This window comes from Homo sapiens, chromosome 1 (assembly GCF_000001405.40).
Source record: "Homo sapiens chromosome 1, GRCh38.p14 Primary Assembly".
Taxonomy (NCBI): Eukaryota; Metazoa; Chordata; class Mammalia; order Primates; family Hominidae; genus Homo; species Homo sapiens.
In genome coordinates, this window is record NC_000001.11 from 143,349,963 (window position 1) to 143,373,486 (window position 23,524).

Consider the following 23,524-nt stretch of genomic DNA (forward strand, 5'->3'; position numbering starts at 1 on the left):
GTTGGTGGGAGTGTAAACTAGTTCAACCATTGTCGAAAACCGTGTGGTGATTCCTCAAGGATCTAGAACTAGAAATACCATTTGACCCAGCGATCCCATTACTGGGTATATGCCCAAAGGACTATAAATCATTCTACTATAAAGACACATACACATGTATGATTATGGCGGCACTATTCACAATAGCAAAGACTTGGAACCAACCCAAATGTCCATCAATGATAGACTGGATTAAGAAAATATGGCACATGTACACCATGGAATACTATGCAGCCATAAAAAGGATGAGTTCATGTCGTTTGTAGGGACATGGATGAAACTGGAAACCATAATTCTGAGCAAACTGTCGCAAGGACAGAAAACCAAACACTGCATGTTCTCACTCATAGGTGGGAATTGAACAATGAGAACACTTGGACACAGGATGGGGAACATCACACACCGGGGCCTGTCATGGGGTGGGGGGAAGGGGGAGGGATAGCATTAAAAGAAATACCTAATGTAGATGACGAATTAATGGGTGCAGCACACCACCATGGCACATATATACATATGTAACAAACCTGCATGTTGTGCACATGTACCCTAGAACTTAAAATATTAAAAAAAAAAAAGAAAAAAAGGAAGGGAGCCCATGCCCGAGGGCACCATGCCTCCCTGTCCATCTGCGTGGTACTGAATCATCACTGGGAAGCAGCTGCCTGGTCAGGACGTTTCCAGCTTTTACACTGATTGAGCCATGCCACACAGTTCTCAGGACACAGTGTGGGCAGGGGTAACATGCACCAAATGTGGTGAAAACAGCAGGCCTGGGCACCACCAGAGCACCATTTCTGACCCCTTGTATCTTCCCATCATGGAGCAGGGGTCAGTCGTAAGAAATTGGGGGCCCCGTGTGGCTCAGACTTTTGAAAAAAATCTCACTGGTGGAAGGCAGAACACAGTGTGGGTAAATCTCTCAGTTTTATTTATGTATTTATTGAGATGGAGTCTCTGTCATCCAGGTTGGAGTCCGGTGGCACAATCTTGGCTCACTGCAACCTCTGCCTCCTGGGTTCAAGAGATTCTCCTGCCTCAGCCTCCCAAGTAGCTGGGATTACAGGTGTGCACCACCACACCAGCTATTTTTTGTATTTTTAGTAGAGACGGGGTTTCACCATGTTGGCCAGGCTAGTCTCGAACTCCTGACCTCAAGTGATCTGCCTCGACCTCCCAAAGTGCTGGGATTACAGGCTCTCAGTGAGTTTTAACATTGTCTTGAGATTACAATAAAGGGGGCTGACTTTAGCCTCCAGAAACTTTCATTTCATTGCTTCTTAAAAAAATGCAGGCCAGGTGTGGTGGCTCATGCCTGTAATCCCAGCACTTTGGGAGGCCAAGGGGTGGATCACCAGGTCAGGAGTTGAGACCAGCCTAACCAACATGGTGAAACCACATCTCTACTAAAAATACAGAAATTAGCCGGGCATGGTGGCAGGCGCCTGTAATCCCAGCTACTCGGGAGGCTGAGGCAGGAGAATCGCTTGAACTCAGGAGGCAGAGGTTACAGTGAGCTGAGATGATTGTGCCACTGCACTCCAGCCTGGGTAACAGAGTGAGACTGCATCTCAAAAACAAACAAACAAACAAACAAACAAACAAACAAACAAACAAAAGTGCAGGTAGCCCAGAGACAGGCATTCCACTTGATTTTCAGATAGTGACTGAGTGTTATTTATCTTTGTACTCAATGGGTTAAGGTACTGCTAGCTGCTGTAACATTTCAGACTTTGGTGGCTTAGCACAATGGAAGTTTATTTCTCACTGATGTAAGGTCCAGCTTCGGGAGGAAAAGCCACCTCACTAGTCACTGGGGAGACACGCAGACAGGCTCTTCCATCTTCAGCTCAGCCTCCCAGGTTGCTCTGGCTGTTGGTAGGAAGAGGAGGGGAGAAGGTGGAGGATTCCCAGTAGGTTTGCTGGATCCTCTCTCTGGACTGCCTTTCCAGACCCCTGCTCCCTTCCACCTGGCCATCCACTCCTAAGCCTAAAGAATGTGCAGGAGGCTGGACGTGGTAGCTGGAGCCTGTAATCCCAGTGCTTTGGGAGGCTGAGGTAGGAGGATGGCTTGAGCCCAGGAGTTTGAGATCAACCTGAGCAACACAGCGAGACCCCTGTCTCTACAAAAAACAATTTTAAAAAACTGAGCCAGGCGTGGTAGCACACACCTGTAGTCCCAGCTATCTGGGAGGCTGAGGTGGGAGGAGCACTTGAGCCCCAGAGTTCGAGGCTGTAGTGAGCTATTATCACACCACTTCATTCCAGCCTGGGAGACATAGGGAGGCCCTGTCCTTATTAAAAGATAAAAATAAAATAAAGAAAGAAAGAAGACTGTGCAGGTGTTGCCTCCTCCCTGAACCTCGCAGCCTTCCTGCAGACCTGGGCTCCTCCCAGGCCCCTGGTGGTAGCCCTGCTCAAGGGTGCTGTGCTGCTTACTCTGTCCCCACCCCCAAGCTCTTAGAAGTTGAGGGCTAAGTCTCACAGGTCACGCTCCCCAGCTTCCCAGTCAAGGCTCATTAGCTGTTTGTTTATTGCTGTTTCTCTACCTGAACATCAGCTCCACCTGAACAGAGCCTTTCATAGCTGAAACCCCAGCGCCTACAACAGAGACCAGCAAATGATTCATAGGTCAACACATACATGTGTGTTGATCAAATGAATGAATGCATGAATTGGAAGAATGATGGCGGCAAGGCAAGGTCCCCCAGGTTGACTTCTTGCCGGCCCAGGACTCCCCACCCCTCCTTTACTAGTCAGGACCTGCTATTGCAATTTGCTGCGCTTAGCGCAAAACAAAAACCTGGGCCCTCTTGTTCAAAAATTAAGAATTTCAAGACTGCAAGAGCCTTAAACCAAGAGGGAGAGGGTGTCTTCCGGGGCCCAGCCCCGGGCTGCTGCATGGTGGGATGGGGGCTCGCCCCAGGCTCGCTCCCAACTCCCCTCTCCAACCTGCAGCTGGGGGGCTGGGGTCCACCGCCTCCTGTCAGCCACGCCCGACCGGTAGAACGCTCTTCTGCAGAAACTTCCCAGACCTCCACTTAATGGCACCCGAGCAGGGCGCCCTGGCAGACGCAGTCTCCTTCCGGGAGCAGGCAGGTGCAAGGCAGGCACCGGGGCTTTGGAAGGGGCTGGTGGAGATGCTTGGGCGCCGGTTGCCCCAGGGCAGACCCTGGGGCCTCCCTCATTCCAGCTCCTCTGCGTCCAGAATGGCTGCCGCTCCTTTGGGGGAGGGTGCGGGATGGTCTCTTTTCTTAGAAAGTGGCTCAGGTCTTATTCTGCGCCTGGGCGTCTCGCAGCCGACACACAGGCACACCAGATGGACAAACAGAAAAACCCACAGAAGGCGGCCCCTCCCCCAATTCAGAGAGCCAGTGACTGGCGCTCCTCCACCCCTAACCAGACACACCCGAAAACAGACGGCCAGACACAGAGTGACCGGCACAGAGAAGACAATACAGAAATACGCAGGGACAAGGACAGACCATCGGACGCTCGGACACGGACCCAGGCAGGATCACCTGGACCTCTGGGTTCCCCAACGGAGACCCTCGGGGAAGGCCCGGAGCATAGCACGCCCCTGTGGAGCCCCGTGCGCCCCACTTGGCAGCAGCCACGCCCCCCGCGCACACCCCACTTCGGGCTGGCTCTGGAAGACCCCCTCTCCCCAGCCCCGCAACCCCGGGACTCTGGGAGGCATCTCTCGTCACCCAGCGTTTCTGAGGCGCCGGGACAGGGGCTGGGTGGGTGGGCGTCGGCGCAGGAGTGAGGGCTGCAGACGGTGGGCGGGGGCCGGGCGCGCGGGCGGAGGTGCGGGAGGACGCGCTAGTGTCGGGGCAGGGCTGGCCAGTGTCCCAGGGATCAGGAGCCGGGAGCGGTCCGCGTGGGTCCCGGAGGGGACAGATGGCTGCCCCGGGCGTTGCCCAGTGAGGGGCAGTGGGCAAGGGAGCTCGTAGAATCCCGGGTCAGCGGGGTGGGGCGCTGGGTAAGTGGACAGGGTGGTACCTTGACTGAGGACGAAGGGGCAGAAGAGGGGAGGGCGGGCGTCGGGAAGTGACAGGAGACGGGGCAGGTTGTCGGGGGCGTGGGGTAGGAATCGGAGGGGAGTTGAAAAGGGGGGTGCTGGTTGCAGAGGCGTCGGGGCAAGGACAGGAGCCAGGAGCGCAGGCGGGGCCCGACGGCAGCCACCCCCGGGGCCAGACTTGGCGCGGGTGTCTTGAAGATGCTTGAGGGCCTGGGGTCGCCCGCCTGGCCCCGGGCAGCTGCGAGCGCCTCAGTCGCGAGGTCATCGGGGCCCGCGGCCTGCCCGCCTCCCTCGCCGTCGGCCCCGAGGTGCCCGGAGTCCCCGGCCCCCCGGAGGGGCGGTGTGCGCGCCAGCGTCCCACAGAGGCTGGCCGAGATGCTGAGCAGCCAGTATGGGCTGATCGTGTTCGTGGCGGGGCTGCTGCTGCTGCTGGCCTGGGCCGTGCACGCCGCGGGCGTGAGCAAGAGCGACCTGCTGTGCTTCCTGACGGCGCTCATGCTGCTGCAGATGCTGTGGTACGTGGGCCGCAGCTCCGCGAACCGCCGCCTCTTCCGCCTCAAGGACACGCACGCCGGCGCCGGCTGGCTGCACCGGCTGGTGAGTCCAGGCACCGGGCAAGCGGGTCTCTGCCTCCTCGCCCGCTGGCTGCATCCTGAGACGGCTCTGCCCCCTTCCTACCACTGCCGTCTTCCCTTCAGCCTTTTCTGCCTTGGTCTCTCTGTGCATCTTTCCTAGCTTTCCTATCTGCCCTTCCTTCTTTCCTCTCTCTCTCTCTCTCTGAAGCCTGGGTCGTCGCAGGAGCCTCCTCTCCGCCTCCAGACGCTTCCATCATTACAGCCACAGTTACAGAAACCTCTCCTGTCCTTCCCTGGCTTAAAGCCATACAGTGGCCCTACTGACCCCATGAGGGAGGTCACGCTCCCTCTCCTGACACTCAGAGCCTTCTAGCACCCGGCCACCGAGGGCCCGTTTCCTTTGATCCCCTTCTTTGTTCTCATCCTATGCTGGGGTCATTCTCGAGGACTTTCTCTCCTGTCACAGGATCTCTGCCTCTGCACATTCAGCACCTTTGGTTCCCTCCTCCAGGAATGTCTTTTCCACTCTCCCACCTGCCCCTCTGCTTTCCGAGACAGGCCTCAGGCCTCACCCCATTCTCCCCGCGAAGCTTCTCCGACCCCCTTCTCTTCCCCGCTTTGCAGGTCTGACCACACGCTCCCAGCCCGCACTGGGTTCCAGTGTTCTTGTCGACATGTCTGTACCCTCCACTCCACTGGGGAGCTCTGTGATCCCTGTCTCTCGGTCCTAGAGCCACCTCAGGGCCTGGCACAAGTGGGTGTTGAGAAAATGAGGGGGGATGAATGATGTAATGAATGCGTGGATGCAGGGTGGGGCAGAGAGGGATAGAGGCTCCTGCTGGTACTCACGGGCATTGGCTGAAATCGTCAAGATAGGAGCTCTTCCTTTCTCAAGGGGCTGCCACATCTTTTTTTTTTTTTTTTTTTTTTTTTTTTTTTTTTTTGAGACAATGTTGCTCTATCTCCCAGGCTGGAGTGCAGTGGCACAGTCACAGCTCACTACAGCCTCTTCCTCCTGGTCTCAAGCAATCCTCCCACTTCAGCCTCCTGAATAGCTGGAACTATAGGTACACATGGCCTTGCCTGGCTAAGTTTTGTTATATTTTGTACAGATAGAGCCTCGTTGTGTTGTCTCCTGTTCTCAAACTCCTGGCCTCAAGGGATCCTCCTGCCTTGGCCTCCCAAAATGATAGGATCACAGGCATGAGCCACTGTGCCTGGCTGGGGTTGCCAGTCTTGAATGGGAGACAGACATGGTGCAGGTGAAAGGGAGGAGGCCGTGGGGAGCATGCTTGTGAAGAAAGCTTCTGTCTGAGTAACCTTCCCAGGAGAAGCCGACTGCATTTCACACCACGTGGTCCAGACACATCACACATTGCCACTTGGATTCTCATATTAGACCTGAATTTAAATCTCCATTAGAGTGGGGCTTCCGTGTTCCTTGCATGTATGACCTCGGGCAAGTTGCTTGATTGCCTTCCTTACTCTGAACCCTGGTGTCGGCATCTGTAGAATGGGGATCTCACACTGGATAGGATCCAGTGATTGATGAGGTGGCTGCCCAGCACACACTAGGCCTCCTTTCTGCACTTCTTTCAAAGGTCCTGGCCAGATGCCACCTTCTTCACAAATGCCTGGCAGGAATTACTCCTCACTTCCATGGGCCACCATGGCCCTCCTTCTGTAAAGCTCTTTTGGTCCTTGTCTGTTTCTGCCTTGTATTATGACTGTTGAATATTAGCCTTATCATCCAGAAGAGATTTTAGACTTCTTAGGCTCAGGGACTGGATCTAGTTCATCTTGCTTTTGGGGAAATTTGACACCATTGCAGGGTGGCCCAAATTCCTGTTCTGAAATTGGTTGTTTTAGGGAAGTTAATGGTTTTGTGACTCTATGAATGACAGTGAATCTGGTGCTATTTAAAACAAGGCACAAAGTGTTATTTTAGGATATTGACTTACACAGGCTAAAAAGTATTATACACATGAGCCTTTACCTGTGTTTTCCTACAGTCAAAGCCCCCTTTTTTGTTCCTCACTTCTTTTTCTCCTCCATCCTTTTTTCTCCCTTCTTCCTTCTCTCTTTCTCCTTTCCTTTCTTCCTCTTCCCTCCCTCCCTATTCCCTCCCCTTCCCTTTTCTCTCCCTTTTCTTCCTTTTTATCTTTTTTTTGCGATGGAGTCTTGCCCTGTCACCCAGGCTGGAGTGCAATGGTGCGATCTCGGCTCACTGCAACCTCCGCCTCCCGGGTTCAAACGATTCTCCTGACTCAGCCTCCCAAGTAGCTGGGATTATAGGCGCTTGCAACCATGCCCAGCTATTTTTTGTATTTTTAGTAGAGACGGGGTTTCATCATGTTGGCCAGGCTGGTCTCGAACTCCTGACCTCGTGATCTGCCTGCCTCAGCCTCCCAAAGTGATGGGATTACCAGTGTGAGTCACCATGCCCAGCCTCCCTTTCCTTATTTTTTTCCTCATTTTCTTTCTCTCTTCTCCTCCTTCATTCTTCCTTCCTCTCTTCCTTCCTCTAGCCTTCCCTCCACTATCCCTCTTCCCTCTCTCCTCTCTTTCTCTTCCTTCCTCTCTTCCTCTCTCCTCTGCTGTTTTTGTTTTTGTTTTTGAGATGGAATCTCACTCTGTTGCCAAGGCTGGAGTGCAGTGGCTAGATCATGGGTCACTGCAACCTCCATTTCCTGGGTTCAAGTGATTCTCCTGCCTCAGCCTCCTGATTAGCTGGGACTACAGGTGCACATGCCACCACACCTGGCTAATTTTTGTATTTTTTAGTAGAGACAGTGTTTCACCATGTTGGCCCAGTTGGTCTCAAACTCCTGAGCTCAGGTTATCTGCCTGCCTTTGCCTCCCAAAGTGCTGGGATTACAGGCATGAGACACCACGCCCAGCCTGGTGCATTTAGAATGTGCCTCCTTCTCCTTCTCCTCTCCTTCTCCCCCTCTCCCTCCCCCTCCCTTCCCCCTTCCCACCCTCCCCTTCCCCCTCCTCCTCCTTCTTCTTCTTCTTCTTCTTCTTCTTCTTCTTCTTCTTCTTCCTCTTTCTTCTTTTTTCTACTCAGTCTATCCTTATCCAAGGAATGCTCTTCTTTATATTGAAGTGCAGTTAACTTCCCAGAACCATCATCCTCTTCCCTGGAGCTTCTATCATCATTCACTTATTTATCCACCATGCATCCATCCACCCATCCACACTTATTCATCATCCATCCATCCATCTATCCTTCCATCCATCCATCCATCTGTCCATCCATCCATCTGTGTTTTTTTGTTCTTCCTCTCTCTCTGCCTCCTTTCAGGTTGACTCCGAGCATTGGCGCCTGAGTCTATGGGTGAATGGTTGCACCATTTCCCAAGATTGGGAAGCCAAAGGGAAGAGCAGGGTGGGGACACAAAACCAATGACATGTTACAGTTCTCTTATGGACATGCTACATTTGAGGTGTCTTTGGGACACTAAGTAGAGAGGGAATAAATGGGCAAGGTAGAGAGAGCACGTGATAGGTGTTCAGTAGGTGGTAGCTCTTTAGACATTCAGTGAGTTGTCCCATAATAATGTAATTCAAGTGAGGTGTGTGTATCATGGAAATGGTGTTGGCTCTGGAGGGCTTGGCTTGAGGTCTCAGCTCTGTCACCTTCACCTTTCTGAGTTCTGCTTTCCTCATCAGTAAGATAAGAATCCCAGTCGACTCTCTGGGAGGAGCTGGGGGATGTTGAGAGAAGCAGTTTGCAAAGCCCTGGCCATTCCTGTGGGTTCCTCAAAGAAGCAAGACGCTAATTATTAGTGTCGAGAGGCCCCGACGCCAAAAGGAAGCACCTTCAGGCCCAACAGGGACTGGGGTTTCCTCTGGAATTCTAGCTGGAAAGACAGGTTTGACCCGGGAACTCAGCTCTGCCCTGGTGTTGGTGACAATCTTAGATCAATAGGCAGAGGGCAAGTCCCTCAGGAAAAAGACCAGTGATCCTCAAGATCCATTCTGGGGCCACTATGAGGGTCTTGCTTAACTGCATGCATTTTCTTACTTATTTCTTTTCTTAGATGATATTTCTGGTCCAATGGAAAATATAGACATAGTGTCACGATTTCAACACAAACGAGCGAATGTGGCTGCCAAAAAATCAGATGCAGGCTTGGCTTTCATTGGAAAGGAAATCAGACTGTGTGTGGAGGGTCTCATCCTCCTTGAGCATTTCACAGGCCCTTGGAAAGAGTGGCGGCAGGAGGAGCAAAAGGAGGTTCAGTCCAGAAGAGAGAAGGATGCGGAGGTCACAGGGTAGAAAGTGCTGCTGCCTTGCACCTGTCAGCTCCAGGCCATCCTCTGTCTTTCAGCAAGTAAGAGTCATTTCCTCTGGGAAGCCTCTCCCGATAGTTTCAGACCAGGGGAAGCCCCCATGTTGTATGGTCTCATAGCACTCTTCATTTTCTTTCTAGCACTAATCAAGCAGGATATTGTATTATTCAGTGACTGTTGGGGTAGCCAGACTGAGCCCCTAAAGGCAGAGACCCTGTCTGAATGTGCTTACCATTGTATCCCGAGCTCCTGGCACAGTGCCTAACATGTAGTAAATGCCAATTCCTAGCTACTGAATAATTGGATGATTGAATGATTGGGTGGATGGATGGATGACTAGATGGGTGGATGAATAAGTGAATGATGATAGAAGCTCCAGGGAAGAAGATGATAGTTCTGGGAAGTCAACTGCACTTCAATATAAAGAAAAACATTCTGAAGTAAGCACCAGGCCATGCGTGGTGGCTCACGCCTGTAATCCCAGCACTTTGGGAGGCTGAGGTGGGCAGATCACCTGAGGTCAGGAGTTTGAGACCAGCCTGGCCAACATGGTGAAACCCCGTCTCCACTAAAAATACAAAAAGCTGGGCATGGTGGGACACAGCAAATTATGAATCATTTGCTGATCTCTGTTCTAGGTGCTGGGGTTTCAGCTATGAAAGGCTCTGCTCAGGTGGAGCTGATGTTCAGGTAGAGAAACAGCAATAAACAAACAGCTAATGAGCCCTCACTGGGAAGTTGGGGAGCGTGACCTGTGAGACTTAGCCCTCAACTTCTAGGAGCTTGGGGGTGGGGACAGAGTAAGCAGCACAGCACCCTTGAGCAGGGCTACCACCAGGGGCCTGGGAGGAGCCCAAGTCTGCAGGAAGGCTGCGAGGTTCAGGGAGGAGGCAACATCTGCACAATCTTCTTTCTTTCTTTATTTTATTTTTATCTTTTAATAAGGACAGGGTCTCCCTATGTCTCCCAGGCTGGAATGAAGTGGTGTGATAATAGCTCACTACAGCCTCGAACTCTGGGGCTCAAGTGCTCCTCCCGCCTCAGCCTCCCAAATAGCTGGGACTACAGGTGTGTGCTACCACGCCTGGCTCATTTTTTAAAAATTGATTTTTGTAGAGACAGGGGTCTCGCTATGTGGAGTGCCTGTAATCCCAGCTACTCGGGAGGCTGAGGCAGGAGAATTGCTTGAAACCAGGAGGCAGAGTTTGCAGTGAGCCAAGATCATGCCACTGCACTCCAGCCTGAACAACAGAGTGAGACTCCATCTCAATAAAATAAAATAAAATAAATTAAAATAAAATAAAAATAAAACACAAAGTAAGTACCAGCTGGTGATGGAAGGGTGCGCTTTGAGAGATGTTGAGCCTCCCAGCCCTGGGCTTGTCCAAGTAGAGATCAGATGGCTTCCGGTCATGATGCATTGGAAAGCATTCTTGCATGGGATAGAATGCAGACTAACTCTGTGGGACTTTCCGCCTCTAAGAGGGGGGTTCAAGATTCTAGACTCCTAGGAGGGATTTGGGTGCCTAACAAAGAGGAGGGGGTTCCCTCTGCCATCACTAGATGGGTACCCTATGTAGTCTTTGGATTATTCTCAAGTATTGTAGCTGGTAAACTTTCTAATTGGTTCTAATGCATCAACATTTTCTTGGCGATTGAGTGATGATAATAACATCCCGCTTATAGAACTTTCTAGGTAAGGAACACTGTTCTAGGTGACTTCCATGTAAAGACTCACTTAATCTCCTCAGCACCCCTATGAGATAAGTGTTATTACTGTCATTACATCTTAGAGATGGGGAAACTGAGGCAAAGGTAAGTTAAGTAATTGTGAAATTATATATGTATATATATTTATACATGCATAAATATATATGTATATGTGTATATATATTTATCTATGTATATGTGTATATATATACTTGTATATATATATTTATACATATATATGTGTTTATATAAATCAAAATCTGTTTCATTTGGGCACATGTGTGGCTGTTATAGCTTCCTCATACAGTCGTTGTGTTTTTTGTTTTTTGTTTTTTTTTTGGGACAGAGTCTCGCTCTGTCGCCCAGGCTGGAGTGCAGTGGCGCGATCTTGGCTCACTGCGAGCTCTGCCTCCTGGATTCATGCCATTCTCCTGCTTCAGCCTACCAAGTAGCTGGGACTACAGGCACCCCCCACCACGCCCGGCTAATTTTTTGTATTTTTGGTAGAGACAGGTTTTCATCATGTTAGCCAGGATGGTCTCGATCTCCTGACCTTGTGATTCGCCCACCTCGGCCTCCCAAAGTGCTGGGATTACAGGCGTGAGCCACCACACTGGACAGTCTGTCTTTTATTATATGTAGTGATAAAAGAGGAAGGATTCTTTATCCTACTTAATACATTAAATCCCGTATGGTCTGATATTAATATTGCCATTCCAACTTTCTTTTTGTTTGCATTGCCTGATTCCTCTTTGTCCACTACTTTATTTTAAACCTTTATTACTTTGTTAAAGGTGCAATTTGTGTAAAGATCATGTAACTAGGTTTTGTTTTTAATTCAATTTTCCTATTCTTGCTGACTACTTAGTGGGAGGATTTAGATCATTCTAATTTATAGAAATAATTTATGTAGTTGACTTTTTTGTTTCCATTTTTCTTTTCGATGTTTATGATGATATATTTTACATTCCTATTTCTTCCTTTTCCTCTTCCACATTTGTCTTTTTTGAGCATTTGAAAATTTATTCTGATTTTTTATTCCATTCATGGCCATTTTTTTCTTCCCTCACTCTCATAATCTGATGCATATTACTTCATTCTTTTTTTTTGAGCCGGAGTCTCACTTTGTTGCCCAGGCTGGAGCGCAGTGGCATGATCTCGGCTCACTGCAACCTCCGCCTCCCAGGTTCAAGCGATTCTCCTGCCTCAGCCTCCTAAGTAGCTGGGACTACAGGTGCCCATCACCACACTGGGCTAATTTCTTGTGTTTTTGGTAGAGACAGGGTTTCACCATCATGGTCTGACTGGTCTTGAACTCCTGACCTTAAGTGTTCCGCCCATCTTGGCCTCCCAAAGTGCTGGGATTATAGGTGTGAGACACCGCGCCCAGCTGCCTATTACTTCATTCTTATTTGAAAACAAAATATTGAACATTTCCCTCAGCAAGCCACACTGTGTCCCACTCCAAGATGTTCACTGCTCCCACTTCCTCTCTACCTAATGGGATGAGATCTTTAGGATACGTTTGCCTCCCTATTCCTTTCCCTTCTTCCCTCTCCTTTTCCATTTATTTACCTTGAGGGCTTTCAAAGGTTTTTCTTTGTTCCCTATCCAGTCCTTTTCCAACTTAGGTTTTTTTTTGTTGTTGTTGTTGTTTTGTTTTGTTTTGTGTTGTTTTGTTTCAGATGGAGTCTCGCTCTGTCACCCATGCTGGAGTGCAATGGTGCAATCTCAGTTGACTGCAACCTCTGCCTCTTGGGTTCACACCATTCTCCTGCCCCAGCCTCCCAAGTAGCTGGGACTACAGATGCTTGCCACCACGCCAGACTAATTTTTGTATTTTTAGTAAAGACGGGGTTTCAGCATGTTGGCCAGGCTCATCTCGAACTCCTGACCAAAGGTGATCCATCTGCCTCGGCCTCCCAAAGCGCTGGGATTACAGGTGTGAGCCACTGTGCTTGGCCGAACTTATGGGTTTTGTAGAGATAGTTAATAGAATTTCGCCTCAAAATGTCTATTCTGTATGACAAGTCTTTATAGGGTATGTAAATTACACATCTCAGGCAGTTTATCCATTTGAATTTAAGTTCTTCTTTTCTCTCCTATTAATCTAATTATCTATCTCCATCTGTCTCTCCATCCATTATACCTCCACCCTCCTCTAGCCTTCCACAGAGTTGATTGGTCACTATAATTTGCTCTCCTCCTCATCTTCCCCTCTTTTGGGGACTCTCTTCCAGTTCACAAGCTCCTTGGTTAAAGTCCTTTGTCAGACAAGTTATGTGGATGACAGTTTTCTCTGTTCTCTGTTCAACAATCACCTCCTTTCCTGCCCATGTACCTTCAACCTCAGTCCCCTTTTCTGCTTTACTTTTCTTCATGCACTTAGCACTTCCTGACATTCTTTATGTGTTTACTATTTACCGGTTTATTTTTTGCCTTCCCCACTAGATGTGAAACTCCTCAAGGGCAGATACTCTATTTTATTGACCTTTATATCTTCAGTGCCTGGGACAATGCCTGGCCCATGGTTGCTGCTCAATAAATAGCTGTTGAAAAAATTACATTTTGTATACTTCAAACATCATTCTGCCTTTTGCCCTGACACATGGGCGACATCTTAGCTGAGAATAAGGTTTTTGAGGTGCAGTCCTTTCCTTGTGGCACATATGTCCACTGTCTTCTGGTTTCCCAGGCTGCACAGAGGAAGTCTGTTGCCAGCTCATCTCTCTGATATTTTGTGCACACCCTAATTTATGCAATATTATACTCGTATATTTTTGTTTCTACAGCAATCTCCTATGTCTGTCTTTGAGCCCTTGGCACAATGTCTCATGCATAGTAGGAGTCCCCAAGGTGTTTGTTGTATAAACAACTGGCTGAATGAATCCATGGATGAATGGATGAACACAGGAAGAAAGGGAGGACTGAAAGAGTATATTATTGAACACTTGGCATGTCAACCACAGAGATGGTCTAGACCAGTAGTTTTCAAAGCGGGGCCTAGATCAACAGTGGCAGCCCCACTTGAAAACTTGTTAGAGATGAAAATTTTGGGGCACCACCCAGACCTACTAAATCAGAAACTCTGGAGGTGGAGCCCAGGAATTTGTGTTTTAACAAGCCCTGCAGGTGATTCTGATGCAGTTTCCAGTTTGAGAACCACTGCTGTAGACCATCCGCATTTTCTGTATGGGAATCCTGAGGTTGGGAGCAGGAAGTGACTCATGTATTCTGTGAGTGTCCAGGTCTCCGTACTTTCAGGCCTGTACTCTTGCCACTCAACCACGCTGCCTCACCTGATCTTGCTATGTTTTTTGTAATTAAAACCAACCACGTATTTGTCAAAACATTTCAAAGCACTGGGATTGAATCTCCACTCTTACAACGTTTCCGATTTCATTGGGGTGTTTCCAGGATTAAAAATGTGAGTTAGAGTTGTTTCTATAAGGCTTTGAGCAGTGGAAAAGTGCCAGGCGATTGCATTACTTTTCAGAGGAGGCTTCTCAGGCTGGGGCTGTAACGTTATAGCCCAATGTTATGGCTCATGCCCTCCTCTCTGCTCAGTGCCTTAATGCATGTCATACATGATCCAGTTTCCTCCTGTTGGCAGGAGCAAATGTGTAAATGGCAGTCATTGCTAGCCCAGGAGGGAGATGAGGAACTCTGACTTGATCAAGCACTCATGATCATTGCCTTTTTCTCACTAATTTCTTCATTTGTCACCAAGTGTCTTTTTAATGTATTTTGTACATTCCTTTCCAGTCTTTTTTATATGCAAATTTTTTATTAGTTTGTCTTTATGTTTTGGGCAAAGCCATGCTCATTATACTATCAAAGATTGCTTCCTTTCCTCAGTACACCTAGCACAGGCCCTTCCTCAGCTACTACTATAGAGCCCTTACCCATCTATTTTTTTTTTTCTAATATACTTTCAGCCGGGCTCAGTGACTCATGCCTGTAATCCCAGCACTTTGGGAGGCTGAGACAGGCGGAGCACTTGAGGCCAGGAGTTTAAGACCAGCCTGGCCAGCACACCTGTAATCCCAGGTACTTGGGATTGAGGTTGAGGCACAAGAATCACTTGAACCTGGGAGGTGGAGGTTGCAGTGAGCCAAGATCGTGCCACTACACTCCAGCCTGGGTGACAGAACAAGACCCTGTCTCAAATAAATAAATAAATAAACTTTCCATTTTAGAAAAGCTTTAGATTTATGGAAAAGTTGCAAAGACAGTTCAGAGAATTCCTGTATACCTGTATGACCTGCACACTCTGCACTCTTATTTCTTATTATTTCTTATTAATATATATATATTTTGAGACAGAGTTTCACTCTTGTTGCCCTGGCTGGAATGCAATCATGCAATCTCGGCTCACTGCAACCTCCACCTCCCGGGTTCAAGTGATTCTCCTGCCTCAGCCTCCGGTGTAGCAGGATTACAGGCATGCACCACCACACCTGCTACTTTTGTATTTTTTAGTAGAGATGGGGTTTCTCCATGTTGGTCAGGCTGGTCTCGAACTCCCAACCTCAGGTGATCCACCCACCTCGGCCTTCCAAAGTGCTGGGATTACAGATGTGAGCCACTGCACCCAGCCAGCTGCACTCTTATTCTTTAGAGAACAGGATTTTAGGATTAGAGAACTGAGATTTTTGAGTAGAGCAGTGACATTCTTAGATTTCTCCTTTTTGAAAAAGCTTCTGGGAGCATTCTGTTGACTGGACCAGGCTTCGTTGATTGTGTATCATTTGTCAGACTCTGGGCTATGGGGTGGGTACAATGATGAACGGGACACAACACCTGCCTTCTAGTTTTACCTTCGCAGCTCAACAGTAGAATTTGTTTATTTATTTAGAAATAATTATTATGTTATTTTTGGGTAGAGATGGGGTTGCTTAGGCTCTTGGCCTCAAGTGATCCTCCCGCCTTGGCCTCCCAAAGTGCTGGAATTACAGGCATGAGCCACCATGCCTGGGCTAGAATTTATTTTATTAATATATTTTTAATTATGGTAAAACATGCATTTATATACATAAAATTTACCAACTTAGCAGTTTTCAAGTGCACAGCTCAGTGGTGTTAAGCACATATGCACTGTTGTGCAACCAACCTCCAGAACTTTTTCATCTCGCAAAACTGAAACTCTGTCCTCATTAAACACTAACTCTTCATTCTTCCCTCCCTCTAGCACCTGGCAACCACCATTCTATTTCTGTCTATGAATTTGCTTACGTTTGATACCTCATATAATGAAATCCTACAGTATTGTACTTTGGTGGTTGAGTTTATTTTACTTAGCATAATGTCCTCATGGCTCATCCATACTGTATCGTGTGTCAGAATTTCCTTCCTTTTTAAGCTGAATAATATTCTGTTGTATGTCTATACCTCATTGTGTTTATCCATCCATCTGTTGATGGATGCTGGGTTGCTTCCACCTTTTGGATACTGAAAATAATGCTGCTATGAACAGGAGAATACAGATATCCCCTCGGGTCCCTGCTTTCAATTCTTTTGGGTATATACTCAGAAGTGAAAATGCCAGATCATGCCATAATAGTATTTTCAATTTTTTGAAGGCCCTCCCTACTGTTTTCAGTAGTAGCTGTACCAATTTACATTCCTACCAACAGAGCACTATTTCTCTATATCCTCACCAATGCTGGTTATTTTCTATTATTTTCTTTTTTTTTTTTTTTTGATAGTAGCCATCCTGATAGTGTGAAAGTATTTTGTAGTTTTGATTTGCATCTCTCTAATAATTAGTGATGGTGAACATCTTTTCATGTACTTGCTGGCCATCTTTATGTCTTCTTTGGAGATATGTTTATTCAAGTCCTTTGCCAATTTTTAAATTGGCTTTTGTCATTGTTGATTGATCGATTTTTGGAGACAGAGTTTCGCTCTTGTTGCCCAGGAGTGCCATGGCATGATCTCGGCTCACTGCAACCTCTGCCTCCCTGGTTCAAGGGATTCTCCTGCCTCAGCATCCCAAGTAGCTGGGAATATAGGCATGCACCACCATACCAGGCTAATTTTTGTATTATTAGTAGAGACAGGTTTCACCACGTTGGCCGGACTGGTCTCCAACTTCTGACCTCAAGTTATTCACCCTCCTCGGCCTCCCAAAGTGCTGGGATTACAGGTGCGAGCCACTGTGCCCAGCCCATTGCTGTCAATGTATAAGAATTCTCTATAAATTCTCTCATAGCAGCATTATTTTCAGTATCCAAAAGGTGGAAGCGACCCAGCATCCATCAACAGATAGATGGATAAACACAGTGAGGTATAGACATACAACAAAATATTATTCAGCTTAAAAAGGAAGGAAATTCTGACACACGATACAGTATGGATGAGCCATAAGGACATTATGCTAAGTAAAATAAACTCAACCACCAAAGGACAGTACTGTACGATTTCATTATATGAGGTATTTAATGTAAACAAATCTGTATATTGTGGATATTAATGACTTATTAGGTATATAATTTGCTAATGTTTTCTCCGGTTCTGTGGGCTGTCTTTCCACTTCATTGGTAGCATCCTGTGATGTGCAAAAATTTTTCATTTTCATGTAGTTCATCTTATTTATTTTAATTTTTGTTGCTTGCATTTTTGGTGTCCTAGCCAAGAAATTATTGCCAAAGCCAATGTCATGAAGCTTTCTCCCATGTCTTCTTTTACAAGGTTTATACTTTTATGTTTAGATCTTTTATCTGTTTTGAGTTAATTTTTGTATATGCTGTAAGGTGAGGGTTCAAATTCATTCGTTTGCATGTGGACATCCAGTTTTCCCACATTTGTTGAAAAGACTGCCCTTTTCCCATTGAATGGTCTCAGCACCCTTGTGAAAAAATCATTTGACCATATACATAAGGGTTTAATATGTAATATAATTTATTTTGAAATGACATCAATGTATATTAATGGAATGTGTGTGTTTCCACTTCCCCCTTTATCCCACATTTAGGTAGTATCACATTGTTTGCAGTCATTACCATCATCCTGGGATGCCTTAAAATTAGATACTTCATTGGATTTTCAGAATGTTTATCAGCCACTGAAGGAGTTTTCCCTGTCACCCATTCAGTGCATACTTTGTTGCAGGTAAACCACTGATGTTTATTCATGTTGTCTCATTCCTGTGAAGTGTATCCCAGGTTGTGTAGAAACTTGTAACATCAAGACATGTGGCAAGTGGAGACAGTGTGCACAGCTGTGAACTGCAATGAACTGAGGTGAACTGAAGTCTATCTTTGAGGCTTAATTCTTCAGCTGCCTCCATTGCAAAATAAAACTCTGTGTCCCCATGGCCATTTTTGCAGGGATCCTATGAGGCAGAACTTCTAATGATGAAGAGTCAGGAAATTCTGCCAAGCCAGGGTCTACAGTAAAAGCTTGAGGGAGTTTTATTTTCTGGGTATGTAACAGGTTTATTGAGAGAATTCACATGGCATATAATTCACCCATTTAACATGTGGAATTCAACGGTTTAGTCTGTTCATAGAGTTATGCAACCATTGCCAAAATCAATTTTATTTTTTAAAAAAATTTAATATTCTTCCTACATAGAAACCTTGTGCCATTGCAATGCCTCCTCTGGGTCATGGAAGCGCTTTTGTTTTCTCGTTTGGGGATTAAAGTCTTAGAAATGTATAAGGATTTTTTCCCACAGCATTGGTAAACTTGGTATGGCTCAGAAGGAAGGATTTGATAAATATAATTTAAATACATAGCTTAGGGTCAGAAAAATCTCATGGTTGAAAAGAATGTTAGATGGGCTTTCAGGGTAGTGTTCGCCCTTGGCAGAAATCCGTGGTAATGTTATCAGAGTCAGGATCTGAATTGTTGAATTGTCAGTCTCATTTTTTTTTTGTTTTTTGTTGTATATGTTTAAGGTATACAACATGATTATTTGATATTCCTATCCATAGTGAAGTGATTACTACAGTCAAGCATATTTATGTCTGTCATCTCACATAGTTGCCTTTCTTTTTTTGGATGTGGTAAGAGCACCTAAAATCTATTCTCTTAGCAAATTTCCAGTATACAATACAATAGTATTAACTACAGTCTTCACGTTGTCCATTACATCTCTAGAATTATTCATCTTACGTATTTGCAACTTTGTACCCTTTGACCAAAATCTTCTAATTTTTCCCCTCCAACTACCATTCTACTCTTTATGTTATTTTGTTTTTATTTATTAATTTAATTCAATTTTAGAGACAGGGTCTTGCTCTGTTGTCCAGGGTAGAGTGCAGTGGTGCCATCACGGATTACTGCAGCCTTGAATTCAGCTCAAGTGATCCTCCCGCCTCAGTCTCCCTAGTAGCTAGGACTACAGGCCCACATCACCATGCCCAGCTTCTACCATCTGTTTTTATGCATTGGATTAAAAACGTTTTTCTAGATACTACATATAAGTGAGATTATGCAGTATTTTTCTTTCTGTGTCTGCCTCATTTCACTGAGCACAATGTCCTCCAGATTTGCCCATGTTGTTGCAAATGGCAGGCTCTGCTCTCATTTTTTTCTAACGAAGAAGTTGGAGCTCAGAGAAGACAAGTGACTTGCTCAAAGTCACTGCGGAGACACAATGATTATTTTCTTCCTGACAAGTCACCCTGGAAGACCATGAACTTGTTCTGGTGATACTGCCATTGCTGGAAATATTTTTGGATTTCCAGTTTGAGAAGGTTCTTTGGAAAGTTTTCTACCTCTAGAAAACCAGGGATGACATGTTTAAAACTTCATCTTTTATCCAAAGTGACCGTCAGCTTGTACTCCCAGCTGACTTACCAGACAGCACTGGATGACCTTAGAGTGTTTCTCTAGATCAAACACATTCTCAAACAGTGAAGCTAACAGACAGAACGTGCCCAGTGAGCCTGGAAACAGTTTAGCTCCATGGTGGCATGGTGGGATCACTGGGGAGCTTGCTGAGGGGCTCATTTGGAGGGGCTGCCTTGCACTTGAAAGCTGTTATGAACTGAGTCATATCCCCTGTGAAATTCATATGCCAAAACCCTCATTCTCAGTACCTGAGCATGTGACTGTATTTGGAGATAGGGTCGTTTAGAGGAGATTGAGGTTAAATAAGATCATTAGGCTGGCCCAAATTCAATATGCCTAGTGTCTTTATTTTTTATGTTTTTGAGACGGAATTTTGCTTGTTGCCCAGGCTGCAGTGCAATGGCATAATCTCGGCTCACTGCAACTTCCGTCTCCTGGGTTCAAGCAATTCTCCTGCCTCAGTCTCCCAAGTAGCTCGGGTTACAGGCACCTGCCACCATGCCCAGCTAACTTTTGTATTTTTAGTAGAGATGAGGTTTCACCATGTTGGCCAGGCTGGTCTCGAACTCCTGACCTCAGGCAATCCACCTGCCTCGGCCTCCCAAAGTATTGGGATTACAGGCGTGAGGCACCGCGCCTGGCCCTGGTGTCTTTATAACAAGAGGAGAGAAGGACACAGACACACACAGAGAGACAGCCATGTAAAGACACTGGAGGAAATTGACCATCTACAAGCCAAAGAGAGAGGCCTCAAAAGGAACCAACCCTGCCCATACCTTGATCTTGGATTTCTAACCCCAGGACCCTGAGAAGAGAAATTCCTGTTATTGAAGTTGATGATCTGTGGTCCTTTGTTATGGCAGCCCAAGCTGATCAAAGATAACTGGCTGCTCATTCCAGGGGAGCCAAATCCCGTGAAGACAGAGCCTTATAGTGATACAGTGACAATGTGGAAAGCTTTCGTGAGGCCAGAACGAACTGCATTCGTTCATTCATTTTTCTTGTAGTTCATCTTTAAATACTGGACGAACATTGTTCTCAGCATGGGGAATACAAGGCTGTAAAGTCTGTGTCACACACCATGGGGGTGTCAGTTAGGTGAGAGGCAGTCCCCAAAACAGTGACAACGCTGGGCTCAGTGCTTTGACCAGAGTGTCCCAGAGCAATGAGGGAGCACAAAGGAGGGCATTTTGGCAGCTTGGAGTGACAGTCAATTTCTGCCAGGGAAGGTCCCAGAACCGTTTGTGAGAGAGGGAGGAGCACAGGGTTAGTGGGTCAGAGGCCACTGGAAGAGGGTGTCTTTGGGACATGCAGTCTTTCCTCACAGTGGGGTAGCGGGAGGATGTGTGGGCACAGGCTGGATCCCTGTTTGTTGTAGGGCTTGTAAGCTTGCACTCTGGTCAGATTGCATGACTCTGGCTCTGACCACAGCTGTGTGACTTCAGGCAAATTACTTAACTTCTCTGGGCCTCATGGGTCTTACTTGCAAGGTGAGGACAATCACAGTACCTACTTCATGGGCTCGTTGTAGAGATTAAAGGCACATGTGTATGAAAAGCACTTGGCACAGGGCTAGGTGTGCAGCAAATTCTTGGTCAAGGCTGACCGCCACCTAGGGGCTTGGGCTTCACCTCGAGGGCAGTGGGGAGCCACTGAAGGCTTTAGGCAGAAGAATGACTGGGACAGATATGAATTTTCAAAATATCCCTCTTAGTTGGTGGGTTGGAGATCCTAGCTTTCTAATTTAAGGCATTTTATTGGCCAGGCAAGTCAATGAATTAATCATTCTATACCTGTTGGACACTTACCATGTGCTTTTGCTACATTAGATGACTGGCGAATGGAAAAAAGTATATATAACAATTAGGCGCTGTTCTAAAAAACAGAGCATTTATTTTAAAATTGTGGCAAATACTGAAAAACCTGTAGATATCAGGATGAAATCGCTTTTGTCAGACCCAGGCAAAATAGGCCTGGGAAGGCGCTAAGGAGAGGGCACTTCTGTCTACGTGTCTGAGATACAAAGTGTTTCCAAAGACTTTCTAAAAACCCTTCATGCATCTCCTGCTTTGAAGAGGTTGGACATTACTAGACATTCTTTAGGACTGCAGTAAAGCAGATAAGATGCTCTTGGAAGAACACTTGTCCAGCACTGGCATCTCCACCAATGAACTGATGACAACTCTGGCTTTGAGCCTCTAGAACCGATGAACTCTTTTTCTCTGTGGATTATGTAAATCTCTCTTTGCTAATAACAGCTCCTCCTTACCCTTCCCTCACCGAATGCGCTGGTGGCTTGCCATTCCATGCATTCTGGACTGTAATTCCTATTTCCAAGTAAATCCAACATATTTAGTGATAATTTTCTCTAGTGTCTTTTTTTTTCAGGTTGACAATCACATAACATTTACCATCTTAGTCATTTTAAGCGTATGGTTCATTAATGTTAAGTACATTCACTTGTTGTACAACCAATCTGCAAACGTTTTTCATCTTGCAAAACTGAAACTCTGAGCCCACTACACAACTCTCTATTTCCTCCTCCTCTGGCTTTTGGCAAACTCTGTTCTACTTTCTGTCTTTATGAGTTTGAATATTCTAGATGCCTCGTATGAATTGAACCATACAGTATTGGTCTTCTTGTGTCTGGCTTATTTCTCACAGCATAACGTTCTCAAGGGTCATCCATGATGTAGCCAGAATCATGGCTGAGAAGGAGCCGTGTATTTGTGTGCACATGTCTGTCTCACCCTATGGTGCCTGAGGCTCTCCCAGGGCTGCTTGAGAACTGAGTCCTTGTGTTTTTCAGGTTTGGGGTGATCCACTTGGTGTTCACCAACCTGCTTCTGTGGGCCAACGGCATCCTCAATGAGTCAAAGCACCAATGAGCACAAGGAATGGCTCATCACTCTGGGCTTTGGGAACATAACAACAGGTGAGTGCTGAGAGAGGTGAGTGGCCCCTCTGCCATGTTGGAATGTCTTGGAAACCTGCAGAGTCCACAGTGTTCAGAGATGGAGTGCAGGTTCCAAAGAACTTCAGGCCCACCAAAGTCAGCATCAGCCAGACAGCCCCCTGTTGTTGAAAATCTTCCAAAACCTGAATCTCTCATAAGTGATGTGTACTGAGCATAATTAAAGGTTTCTTCCATGACTCAGGGACTTGTAAGACCCACGGTGATCATTCTGATGGCCATTTCTCATGGTCCAGTTTGCCGCAGAAATAAATGTCTTTGTTTTCAACTACAGAAGATTGATGGTTGCCTCTGCTTGTGTTTTTAATTAAACCTCTACTACCAGTTCTTTCTAGTAAAAGTATGGCTTTTAAAAATTCATAAAAGTCTAATGGTAGGTTGTGGTTAATAGGCTGTGGTTCATTTAAAGTTTTAATTTAACTGTAGTTGGCTTATAATTCTAGCTCATGTCTGTTCTACCTTGTTCCTATTTGAGAGCCTGTTGGGTTAATCTTTATATTTTCATCTAAAATCCTTTAGCATTTACAATATGTCACTTCTATATGAGAACATTCAGGCTGAGGGGAATGTGGGGCAGGGAACTGGGTGTCTCAGGTTTGTTCCCATCATGTACAAGCTGTGTGACCTTTAGAAGACATTTAATCTCTCTGAGCCTCCCTTTTCTCATTTGTAAAGTGAGGGTATCCAAATCATGCACTTGCAAAGATCCCTTCCAGCTTTAACATGCAGCAAGTCTGTGACAGCTGTGTGAACCCAGGCTGTCCTGGAGAGCCACTTTGAACCTGTTTTGTCATCAGTGGGGTGGAGACAACGAAGTCACCACCCCCAACCAGCAGGCACTCGGTGTTTGGGCCTCATGTCCTCCTTGGTATCAATATTAGTAGCAGCAATGACCACAATAACAAAAGTAAATTTTTATTAAGCATTTGCTGAGTGCCAGCCACTGTTGTTGGAAATTTACACATGTCATTTAATTTGTACCCCCACACTCTCTGGTAGGCTATATATGTGTGTATGTGTGTGTGTGTATATATATATATATACATATATATATATATATATATATATATAGTTGTTTGTTTGTTTTGAGACAGAGTCTCACTC

The 23,524-nt window shown here is 46.4% G+C and overlaps 1 pseudogene; it reads left to right on the forward strand.

Moving 5' to 3' along the window:
• Positions 1-4,258: 4,258 nt before the first annotated feature.
• Positions 4,259-23,524, forward strand: part of LOC100996736 (proton channel OTOP1-like) — a 33,069-nt pseudogene continuing 13,803 nt past the window's right edge.